This window comes from Homo sapiens, chromosome 1, assembly GCF_000001405.40.
Source record: "Homo sapiens chromosome 1, GRCh38.p14 Primary Assembly".
NCBI lineage: Eukaryota > Metazoa > Chordata > Mammalia > Primates > Hominidae > Homo > Homo sapiens.
In genome coordinates, this window is record NC_000001.11 from 225,252,909 (window position 1) to 225,265,426 (window position 12,518).

General features: G+C 34.1%; 1 protein-coding gene across 26 annotated transcripts in view; it reads left to right on the forward strand.

Annotated features, from left to right (window-relative positions):
- Window positions 1-12,518, forward strand: part of DNAH14 (dynein axonemal heavy chain 14) — a 469,633-nt gene that overhangs the window by 323,255 nt on the left and 133,860 nt on the right. For 24 of the 26 annotated variants that reach the window (XM_011544062.3, XM_011544067.3, XM_017000296.2 and 21 more), the window contains 4 exons: window positions 5,052-5,210; window positions 6,213-6,345; window positions 11,289-11,353; window positions 12,274-12,461. In XM_011544062.3, coding sequence (XP_011542364.1) covers window positions 5,052-5,210; window positions 6,213-6,345; window positions 11,289-11,353; window positions 12,274-12,461 — 545 coding nt within the window. The remainder of the gene's footprint in view (window positions 1-5,051; window positions 5,211-6,212; window positions 6,346-11,288; window positions 11,354-12,273; window positions 12,462-12,518) is intronic. The other 2 variants (XM_011544058.3, XM_011544063.3) reach the window with 2 other exon arrangements.

Below are 12,518 nucleotides of genomic sequence, written 5' to 3' on the forward strand. Positions count from 1 at the left end.
GCACTTTGAGAGCTTGGTAGAAATTTGAGGCAGAGGCAGGAATCTAATAATCAAGCTTCTTTAGAGTTCCTGCAAATATTAGAAATTTAATAAATACAAATTGAATTGCTTTGAAGTCAGATTTCTCTCATAAAAGAATTTCAGAGTTGGTTGTAAGAGCTTTTGACAGCAAACAACCAGAGCTATCAGAATGCTAAAGCATCCAGAGAGTTTTAACTCTACATTTGTTTTCGTTGGAAATGCCAAGACTATTTTATTCAATATTTTGTTACAATAAATATTAGCGGGCAATCATATTTGTTTACAAGCTCCGAACTGTATTTCATATGTTAGTGCTGATATTGACTGACAGCCTTAGCTTTTTACCACTATGTAGAAAAGTATAACTGAATATCATTTGCATGTGACTCCACATCTTAGTATACCACTCACACGGGAAACCAAAGCTGTTTTCTCCAAATCTAGAACATTACTTCCTCTGGCTGCCACTTCCTCTAATTGCAGGCAAAGAGCTTAGAAATAACTAAAACATTCCCTGACTTTCAAACCCAAACCTGTAACAAGAATTTAAATGTCACCATGTAATTTTTTTCATGGTAAACCGCAATATGATAAATTGTTTGGACATCCTAGATGTGCTTCAAAAGTCTCCTTTTATGGTTGAGTAGGATTTTTTTTCTTATACTTCTTTACTTAAAAAGAGTAATCCTAATCTGTTATCAGAAGATGTGTTTTGAAGGTCACCCAACATTCATTAATTTCTTTATTCATCCCACACGTATTAATCAAGCTATTTTCTAATGTGCTTACCCTGTTTCTTGTGTGGGATTATAGAGAAACATGTAAGTGGTTCTTTCTTTAATAGCATGGTGGGAAAATATAAAGGAAAATGATGAAAAAGTTAAATATTAATGTTACCTCTTGCATCAATACCCTGTGTGGCATTCACTGCCGCTTGTCACTCCCAACTCTATTCTTTCCTGTTTCTCTATCATTGGAAGATTCATCTAGGCACTTCATCATCCAGCTAAACCTCTCTTGTAGAGCAGTGTGGTTATGTGACCAGATTAGATCTAGACAGCGGGATATGACTAGAGGTGAATCATGCAAATTCTAGATTGTACAATTAAAAAGAAAGGAATGTACACATGTTCTCCTATTTTTTTCTCCCCTTTCTTGCTCCTGAGATGTGGTGGTGAAACCTAAAGCAACCACCAAGAACCTAGATATGGAAAGTGCAGGGTAAGGACGGCAGGAAAAAATAGAATCCTGGATTCCTAACACTGTGGAGCTGACATATAGACCATGGGCTGTTACATGAGAGAGGAATCAAATTCCACCTTTAAAAGCCATGGTTATATTTGGATCTTTGTTAAAGCAGATAGAACTTGTATCATAATTAATACACATTTCAGTAGCTAGAAATGACACAATCACAGAAAAAATCCTGAAATACCTGACATTGACTTAAAAGTCAGATGCTGGGCAATGAAGACACAATGTTGCAGGTGAATACAGGTGATCCTTTATATGCCATGGCCAAAAAATTGGCAACATTGTTAGCTGTGATATCTGGGAGACAGACCATGTGCTGTAACTCTAGGGAAAGTGGCTGGAAGATCAAAACGTTGGTGTGAATTGGCTACTTTTTGTCACTTTTACTGAAGTTCAATAAGAGAGGGATGAATTTAGATAAAAGTTAACTAGTTTTTAAGCAAAGATGAAAGATAATAGAGCTCAGGCAAGGGAGACTCTCTCTACCTGAAGCCTACAATCTAAAACTGAGAGTCCAGTATATTGGGCTCTCATAGTTTCAAAAATGTTAACTGTTTCTATCCCCCAAATATCAAAAGGAAGACTGTGGACCTAAGTTTTTCTCCAGAGCCTCACATTAGATGCTGTCTACTAGGTAGCAGCCAGCTCAACAGCAAAGGTCAAATTGAGGTATTGCCTACGCACCCAAACCTATTGTTTCAACTCACGTCATGGTAGCGACTACTGAGTATAAGAAAACAAAGAATAAAGTAGTCAGAACTGTGTTTAGACAAGATCTTTTGGTGTGGTTGTTTGCACAGGGAACTAACTGAAAGGGGAAAAAAAATGAGGCTCTCTCTTCTGGAATCCGTACTCTAAGGGTTTATAAGATATTGATATGTAAATCCCAATATTGAGTACTGATGTGACAGACCATGACACAGAATTCTCTTTCTTGTTATCATGGGCAGGGGGTAGTTATTGGAAGGAAACATTTGCTTGCAGATTAAGAGTTGTGTGTTTTATTTTGATTTCCACTAATGTTTGAGGAGTTTAAATGTGAATTTTGTAGTAATGTTCAATCCACAGCTAAGAGTGCTGAAAATTCTCCTTTATAGAAATTATTGAGGCTACAATATCCATTTAAAGAATTACATGTGATTTTGATTGAATCAATCAAGTCATTGTATCATTAGGTTGGCTATTCAAGGATTAAGGATGTCAGAAATCAAAGCTTCCTTCCCTCCACTCTTTCTCACATACACACACACGTATAATTTAATCTGGGCTAATGAAGAGCTACACTCTCTATGTGAAGGTGAACTGGATTAAACCAGCCCTTACATATCCAGGTACCCATAATCTGAGGCCAGATACATTATCCTACATCATCTAAGGAATCTCCAGTCTTGAATTGGGATTAAGGGAATCCCTGAGTAGTCTCCCAGCATCCAGTCAGAAGCCAATGGACATACTTTCTATAGAGTGGAACTATTATCCTACACTTTATATTATTCCTACAAATAATATTTTCAAATTTAATACCCCTTTAAAGATAATTAGCAGAAACAAGATTGCAGCCACAAATTAATGAGACTTGGATGACTAGAATAAAGGTATATATTCTCAGACAGCCATGCTTACCATTTATAAAGAAATAAAAAGAAAGATAGAAAATACCTGAAATGCAAGAGAAACTATTAAAAGCTGACACAATTTGAAAAAGAACCAAGTAGACCTTCTAGAAATGAAAAATACAACGGAAGTAAAAGTTCAATAAGAATAACAACAGAGTCTACTTAAGGGGAAATACTTGAAGCATTACCATTAAAATCCAATTTTTAACTCAATGCTGTTTTGTGTATACGAGCCAATGCAATTAAAAAGAGGAATTAGAGATAGAAATTTGGAAAATAAGTGATTAAATTTTAATTATTTGCAGAAGTTATAATAAAATATCTGGAAAACCAAAGGATCAACTTAAAACTACTATAAGCAATAAGAGAATTTAGTTTTAGTCTAATTACAAAACAATGTGTAAAAATAATCTTCCACACATATACAAACAACAACCAGTTACAAGGTAAATAATAAAAGAAAAGATCTTATTTAAAGTGGCAAAAACAGAGAGAATTAGTGCGCACGTGTTGGTCATCCAGAAGTTACCACAGTGGCGGCTGGAGTAGGGTAGAAAACCGGAAGTAAACATTGCAAGATTGGCTTTGCTTCTGTGGGATGGATTTGGGGTCAACTGCGGCAGGATTGGGTAAGAAAATAAATAAATAAAATAAAATAAAATGGCAAAAGCAAAATTTTTAAAAAGATGAAATACAGAAAACTAAGTTTAACGAGAAATATGCAAAAATCAATATGAAGAAAACTTGGAAACATTCTTGAGACATAGAAATAAAAAAGCATGCCATGTTCTTGGAGAAAAGCTATCATCCTAAATGGGTTAATTCTTCCTAAATTAATCCATGAAGTAAAGATAATTCCAATAAACATACCACATTATAGGTGTGGTGAGGACTATAGAAGCTGATTCCAAATTCCATACAGAAATGTTAAACAAGTAAGAGAGTAAGAGTAGCCAGGAAATAATGAGGACAGATTAGCTCAGTCAAATATAATAATCAGAGTACTTACATAAAACACCAAGCAGATTACAAGAGCTAATTTGCTTAATATATAAAGGGACTTTACAAATCAAAGTAAAAGACCAGGAGCCCATTTGCTATTTTAAAAAAAAAACAGATAAAGACAGAATCTCTGGCACACAACTAAAGCATTTTAAGAGGAAAATTGATAGCACTAACTGTCCACATCAAAGTCAGAAAGAGTGTGAGTGAGGGATAATTTCTGAGATCAGCAGAGACCCCCAGGCACTTGTAACAATTTTGGCTTATTTATGTATGTTTAAATTGTTTTGTAATGTGCAGACTTTTCCAGAAATTATTATGTATTGAGGACCTAAAAGTTAGGTGAATACATCCAGTCCACCATAGACTGCATCACTGCTTTGACCTCTCCGGGGTTAGGGCATCCACCACTGGAGAACTGCTATAATGTGGAAATGCATGAATTTCTGTTGAGCAGCTAAAAGTGCCTCTAGTGTCCTCTGTGGTAATGAAAGTGATGATGAAAGTGACTTGCAGAATGACTTTAATTTAGTGGAAATGATTGCTTCTCCAATACATGCGACATTTAGGAACTCCTGGACATAATCAATGGAGTTTTCTCAGGAATAGGAAGACTTTTAAGAGTAATGAACTAATAACTTTTATGATTGACTATATTGTGACATGATTACATTTTCCTGAAACAAATCTTAACATATTTTATTTCTGCATAGCCATGTACTTTTCTTTTCTTTTTTTTCTTTCTTTTTTTTTTTTGAGACGGAGTCTCTGTCGCCCAGGCTGGAGTGCAGTGGCGCAATCTCGGCTCACTGCAAGCTCCGCCTCCTGGGTTCAGGCCATTCTTCTGCCTCAGCCTCCCGAGTAGCTGGGACTGCAGGCGTCTGCCACCACACCCGGCTAATTTTTTGTATTTTTAGTAGAGATGGGGTTTCACCGCGTTAGCCAGGATGGTCTCGATCTCCTGAACTCCTGATCTGCCAGCCTTGGCCTCCCAAAGTGCTGGGATTACAGGCGTGAGCCACCGTGCCCAGCCAGCCATGTACTTTTCATATATACAATTAATGAAAATAAAATAATCCTAATGACAAAAAAAAAAAAAAGATGAGGTGAATAGTACTTTCTAGGTCATTTGAAACTTTTTTTAAAATGTTAACTTAGGAACTTCATTACTAACTAATCTTCAAAGATCTGGCGGAAACTTCTTGAAGATAACAGAATGTGGAGAATGCATTAATTATACCGCTACCAGAGACACAACATGCCTTTCTTTTCTCATGAGCCTTCTTTTAAAGAATTCCTGCCCTGTACTTCTCACAGGTATTACAAATATTTAATAGAAGGAGAATTTCAGAGTTAGAAAAAGATTTACAGATATTTGGTCTAACTATCTTATTTTGTAAGTGGGAAAAAAATATACACTGAAAAGTTTTGGTTACTATATTAATTTATTTTCTTACCAGCAGTTTATGAACACCCATTTTTCCACATATTTGCCAAAATAGGACATTATAAATCTTTTTCATCTTTTCATTACCTGCAGGAGAAATTCCAGAAGTAGAGCTATTATATTAATAATATATGTTTGGCCTCTGTAGCCTGTGGGCTGAGGTTCTTATTGGTAACATTGATTGGTTTACTTACATGTACACATTCAATGGGATTCCCCAATCCAATATTAAGATTTTTCTATCTTTTACCATTATCAAAATAGTAATTCAATACAGCTCCTACTCTCTTTTAATGCGTATTTCAACCCATCAGTTACCTTTTCCAATTATCTAACTTGTGTTGCATAGCACCAGAGGCAATAGTATCATTTTCCCAGTTCCATATGCAGAGAATTAAGGCAATGTAACTCTCAGATAACACATACCTTGCCTCTAATTTTGTCTAAGAAAATACTTATCTTTACTTTAATACTTAATGAATTGTAAAATCATTACAGAGTCCCTACTCTGATTGAACAAAAAGTTTATCATCAAATTTCTTCCTCAAATTGGGTTGGCAGAAATTTTTAAGGAATTATGTTTCATGTTGTAGTTCTGTGCTAAAGGATTAGCATGAACATTAGATAAAAATAATAGTTAACTCTTAATCTATTCTTTTGTAAGAGGTGTAAATAATTCAAACAATTTGAGAGGGTTTTATATTAACTTCCTCATTTAACCACTCTTAACCACATTTTTTTAAAAGGGAAGAACAAAAAAACACTTTTTATGCAATTTTCAATTGAGGGAGAATGTTATTGGTTCATTTTAATGTGTTAACATGTATCATTTTCTTGCATATACATCTAACCTTGTGTATTTTTTCCCTTAGGAGAATCTGGTGTTGGGAAAACTGCTGCCATTAATCAAATGCTTGAAAAGCTAGAGGGTCCAGGAGCATTTGACATAAAACATGGTTCAATTTTAGGAGACACCCTATTATATAGTGAAATAAAAAAATCAAGGTTGTATATACTAACTTCTAAATTTGATTTGTCTGATTTTAAAAAGTGTGCTTTAATATATAAATATGCCTGTTTTTAAAAAAAGCAAATCTGTTATGTAAAAATGCAGAATCATTCAAAAGAGGAGATAAGAAGAAAATCCTTTTTTTCCTGATTTCTCTTTTATTTTTTCCATTTAAACTTTTATTTTTAATTGACAAATGATAATTATATTTATGGTGTACAATGTGATGCTTTGATGTATATACATATTGAGGAATGATTATATCATGTAATTCACATACCATTACCTCACATACTTATGATTTTTTAGTGAGAACAATTAAAATCTATTTTTTAGGAATTTTGAAATATACAACACATTATTAACTGTGGTCACCATGCTGTGCAATAGATGTCGAATTCTTATTCTGCTTATCTAACTGAAACTTTGTACCCTTTGACCAACATCTCCCCATTCCTTCCCACCTTACCTGTTGCCCCTGGCAACCACTAGTCTACTTTCTGCTTCTATGAGTTAGACTTGTTTAGAATCCACATGTAAGTGAGATTATATAGTATTTGTCTTTCTGTGCCTGGCTTATTTCACTAGCATAATGTCCTCCAGGTTCATCCATGTTGTTACAAATGACAGAATTTCCTTCTTTTTAGAGACTGAATAGTACTTCATTGTATATATAATGGAATCTGTGTATATATGCACATTTAAAAAATCCATTTAAATGACAAGATTGCCTTCCTTTAAAAGACTAAATAGTATTCCATTATATATATATACACACACACACAGACACCACATTTTAAAAATCCATTCAGGCTGGGTGCAGTGTTTCACGCCTGTAATCCCAGCACTTTAGGAGGCAGAGGCAGGTGGATCACCTGAGGTCAGGAGTTTGAGACCAGCCTGACCAACATGGTGAAACCCTGTCTCCACTAAAAATACAAAAGATTAGCTGGATGTGGTGGCAGGTGCCTGTAATCCCAGCTACTCGGAAGACTGAGGCAGGAGAGTCGCTTGAACTCAGGAGGTGGAGGTTGCAGTGAGCCAAGATTGCGCCATTGTACTCCAGCCTGGGCAACAGAGCAAGACTCCATCTCAAAAAAAAAAAAAAAATCCATTCAGCCATTGAACACTTAGGGTGAGCCTATATCTTGTCTGTTGTGAATAATGCTGCAATGAACACAGGAGTGCAGAATAGCCAAAGCAATTGATTGTAAATGTGTGGGTTTATTTCTGGGCCCTTTATCCTGTTTCATTGGTCTATATGTTGGTTATTATGCTAATGCCATGTTGTTTTGATTACTATAGCTTTGTAGTATATTTTGAAATCAGGTAGGGTGATGCCACAAGCTTTTTTTTTTCCCCCCCTCAAGATTGCTTTGGCTATTCGGGATCTTTTGTGGTTCCACTGGCAAAATGAAAAATGATGTTGGAATTTTGGTAGAGATTGCATTGAATCTGTAGCTCACTTTGGGTAGTATAGATATTTTAACAATATTAATTCTTTCAATCCATGAACACAAGATATCTTTCCACTTATTTGTGTTTTCTTAAATTTATTTCATCAATGTTTTATAGTTTTCAATATACAGAATTTTCACCTTCTTGTTATATTTACCCTTAAGTACTCTTTTAATGGTCTTTTTTAACAGTATTGTAAATGGAATTGTTTTCTTTCTTTTTCAGGTAGTTCATTGTTGGCTTATAGAAATGTGACATTTTTGTATGTTGAGTTTGTATATCTTGCAACTTTATTGCATTCATTGATCAGTTCTAACAGTTTTTTGGTGGCATCTTTAGGGTCTCTATTAATAAGATCATGTAATCAGCAAGCGGACAATTTCACCTCTTCTTTTCCTATTTGTATGCCTTTTATTTCTTTCCTTGCCTAATTGCTCTGGCTAGGACTTCCAGTTCTATGTTGAAAAGAAGTAGTGAGAGTGGGTATCCTTGTCTGGTTCCTGATCACAGAGGAATAGCTTTCAGCTTTTGACCACTGAGTATGATGTTAGCTGTGATGTATCAGACTTGGCCCTTTATTGTGTTGAAGTACATTCCTTCTATACCTAAGTTGTTGAGAATTTTTTATGAAAAGGTATTCAATTTTGTCAAATGCTTCGTCTGTATTTATTAAGATGACCTTATAGTTTTTGTCTTTCATTCTGTTAATATGGGATATCACATTTATTGATTTGTGCATGTTGAATCATACATGAAATTATCTTAGGGATAAATCCCCACTTGATCATGGTGAATAATCCTTTTAATATACTATTGAATTTGGTTTTATTAGTCTTTTGAGGATTTTTGCATCTATGTTCATCAGGGATATTGGTCTGTAATTGTCTGTTCTTGTAATGTTCTTTTCTGGCTTTGGTATTAGGATAATGCTGGCCTTGTGAAATTAGTTTGGCAGTATTCCCTCCACTTCAATGTTTTGGAAGAGTTGGAGAAGGAGTGGTATTAGTTCCCCTTTAAATAATTGGTAGAATTCAGCATAAACCATCCAATTCTGGGCTTTTCTTTGATGGGTCACTTTATTACTGATTCAATTTCTTTACTATGATTGGCCATTCCTATTTTCTATTTAGAAGAAAATATTTACTTTTCAAAAGTATTAACAACTAGATTCATTTATTTAAATGAGAAATTCTACCCATGGCCATACCACCCTGAAAGTGCCCAATCTTGTCTAAATGAGAAATTCTTACATTTATTTTTAAAATAACCAAATTTTAAGTCGATTTTTTTTATATAAAGGGCAGCTATAAACTATTTTCCTTCAGGAAAAATGCACCTAAAACATACAAATAAAGCTTTCCATAATATTGGTTTTTGTTGGCTTAGAAATATATGTCCTTATTATCAAATGTAAAAATACTCTATTCTTCTTTTGAGAAGTGGCTGTTCATGTCATTTGCCTGCCTTTTAATGGGTTTTTTTTTTCTTGCTAATTTGTTTGAGTTTCTTGTAGATTCTGGATATTAGTCCTTTGTCAGATGCATAGTTTGCAAATATTTTCTCCCATTCTGTAGGTTGTCTGTGTACTCTGTTTATTATTTCTTTTGCTGTGCAGAAGCTTCTTAGTTTAATTAGGTTCCATTTATTTATTTCAGTTTTTGTTGCATTTGCCTTTGGTGTCTTAATCATAAATTCTTTGCCTAGGCCAATGTCCAGAAGAGTTTTTCTTAGGTTTTTTTCTAGAATTCTTATGGTTTCAGGTCTTACATTTAAGTCTTTAATCCATCTTGAGATCATTTTTGCACACAGTAAGAGATAAGAATCCAGTTTCATTCTTCTATATGATGTGGCTATCCAATTTTCCCAGCACCATTTTTGAATAGAGTGTATTTCCCCAGTGTATGTTTTTGTCTGATTTGTCGAAGATCAGTTGGTTGTAAGTATTTGGCTTTATTTCTGGGTTCTCTGTTTTGTTCCTTTGATCTATGTGTCTACTTTTATACCAGTACCATCCTGTTTTGATTACTATAGCCTTGTATTATAATCTGAAGTTGGGTAATGTGATGCCTCTAAGTTTGTTCTTTTTGCTTAGGATTGCTTTGGCTCTTCAGTCTGTCTTTGATTCCGTATAAATTTTAGTATTTTTTTAACCCTGTGAAAAATGACATTGATATTTTTTATAAGAATTGCATTAAATCTGTAGATTGCTTGGGCAGTATGGTCATCAAATGTTAAAATGCTCTTGACAAATAACTTTGTCTCTGTCATTCTATATGTTTCTTCCTGAAGAAAAAAAAAAGAACAAACAATAAATCTACCTTATGCAAATAAAACTAAAAATGTTTTAAGTTCCCAAGCCTGTTAAAATATTAGAGAAGCCTAGTATTGTTTGAATTACATAAGAAGATGGAATTGTGGAAATGCACATATCAGACTTTTCCTCTAATCATTAGACACATATATCCTACTATGCGAGATATATATATACACACACATATATATACATGTATATATACATATATATACACATATATATACATGTATATATATAATACTTGGATATCTTATAAACATTTCAATCTTAACATAACCAAAACATAACTCTTGATTTCTCTTCCAAACCTATCCTTCCTCTAGTGCTTCTTATCTCAATAAACGGGACGCAGTTATTCAAGCCTGAGACCTAGGAATCATCTTTGAATTTCCCCCTTTCCTCTCACCAATCTATCTCTTATAGCCCATCTGATTCCTCCCAATCCCTAGGTCCCCATTTTTGCCCTGCACTACATCTAATATTCTACTAGTCATGTCTGTTCTATCTTCACATATATCTTGATTTCCTCTGCTTCTTTTCCAATGCCTCTTTTAGTCCAAGCCACCATCATCTATGTCTTACACTAATGATTTTGGAATAGAATCCTACTACACTTAAATAAGGCCTTAAACATCTGAGAAATAATTTTGAAATATTTAATACAATGAAAATCATTCTTTATCTAAGTATCATAAATAATGGAGACTGGAAAAAAGTAAGTTTTACTGTATACTCAATATTTAAGCTGAAGTGAGTTTTAACAATAGAGAAAGACAACTATTTTCTATCAAACATGAGAAAAACAAACACCTAGAAACAAGACCAAAATAAGATGAATGGGTCTTTGCTGAGTGATCCGTAAGGCAAATCACATTTTATAAAGGGATAAGTAAGGTAATGGCTTACTATCCAGAGAAAATATCTAACTGTCTGGCATCCTGGGAATTTGCCCAGTTTGTTTTATAAAGTTAGCTTATGTTTTGTTCAGTTTGGTATAAGTTCTTATGGTGACACTAATTTCATCTGAAAAGGTGGAAACAGAAAAAAAATTTTTCTTGTAAGAGTTAGAAGTAAAATTCACAATATGCTGTTACTTTTTTGTTGTTGTTTAATATACCTATTATGGTAAACAAACTAATTTTGAATCCTTAAAATATTTCATTCCAGTAGCCTAAAACAGAATATCACCATCTTGATTCCTGAAACTCATAAGACAGCAACTGGAAGTTCAGGTATATATTATAGTACAGTTTCAAAGCTATGCTATGTTTCAAAACTTCACAACCATGTGTATATTATTTCTTACATTCATGGATCTCAGAATAATAATTTCAATTGGTAATTTAATATAAAAAGTCTCAAAAACTATCCCACACCCTCTCAAACTGTTCTGTCCTACTCAAAAGTTAGAATGGTTCTGGTAGAGGAGTATTACATCTGCTGATATAATAGGTATATTACCTGATACTTGGTGGATATATCAGTGGAAGAGTAGACTAAGTCTAGAAGTAACTAAAGGCAATATCTGTCTATTCTACTGTTTGATGCTTTTAGACATACTGCAATAGAAAAGGTATGATTCTGTAGGACTTCTCAAATCAGGCCATGCAATAGAAACATATGTGGAGTTTCAGGAGCCTCATCCTTGAAAATTCTGACTCTCTAGTTTTGGGAACAGCAACTCCGTTTCTCAAGAGGAAAAGATGGAATGGCCTAGAGATAGCTGTAGAAAGGGGAAGGATGCCACACCACCAAATCTTGCCAGAAGAGGTTTTGGTTTTGTTTTCACTTTTAAGTTGCTGTAGCTATAGCCTCTGGATGATCCTCACTCAGGGAATATACCCTAATTTTAATGCCATTAGTGCAGACAGCTGCATGCTGCTTTTAGATCTTAAAAAGTTATATGTGTCTGTCGTGCATAAATGTATGGAGGACTCTTTGAGCTTTTGTACTGTTGCACTTGGTTGCAGAGATGCTGTTTACCATAAAATAGCAAAGAAATATTCCAAAGTTCTATCGGAGTAATTTCTTGAAAATGACAACAAAATAGTAAAATTATGTAATTTTCAAATTTCATGACACATTAAAATAAGGCAAAAATGTTCTTAAAGTGTCCTAAATTTGTTTTTTCTTTCTATGTTTGGCATCACAGATAATCCCACTAAAAAGCCAGAAGTTAGAACTAATAAAAAGTTACTTAAAAATAATGATCATAAAGGAGTTGTAGTCTCTACAATAAATTTTAGCACCAATGTAACAGCTGCCAAAACCAAGGAGATGATTCTTAAGAAGTTAATAAGAAGAACTAAAGATACTCTTGGAGCACCAAAAAACAACCGGGTAAAACACCTCTCATACCTGTTCAATAATCTGCTTAGGCTAGTCAAGTGATAGTTT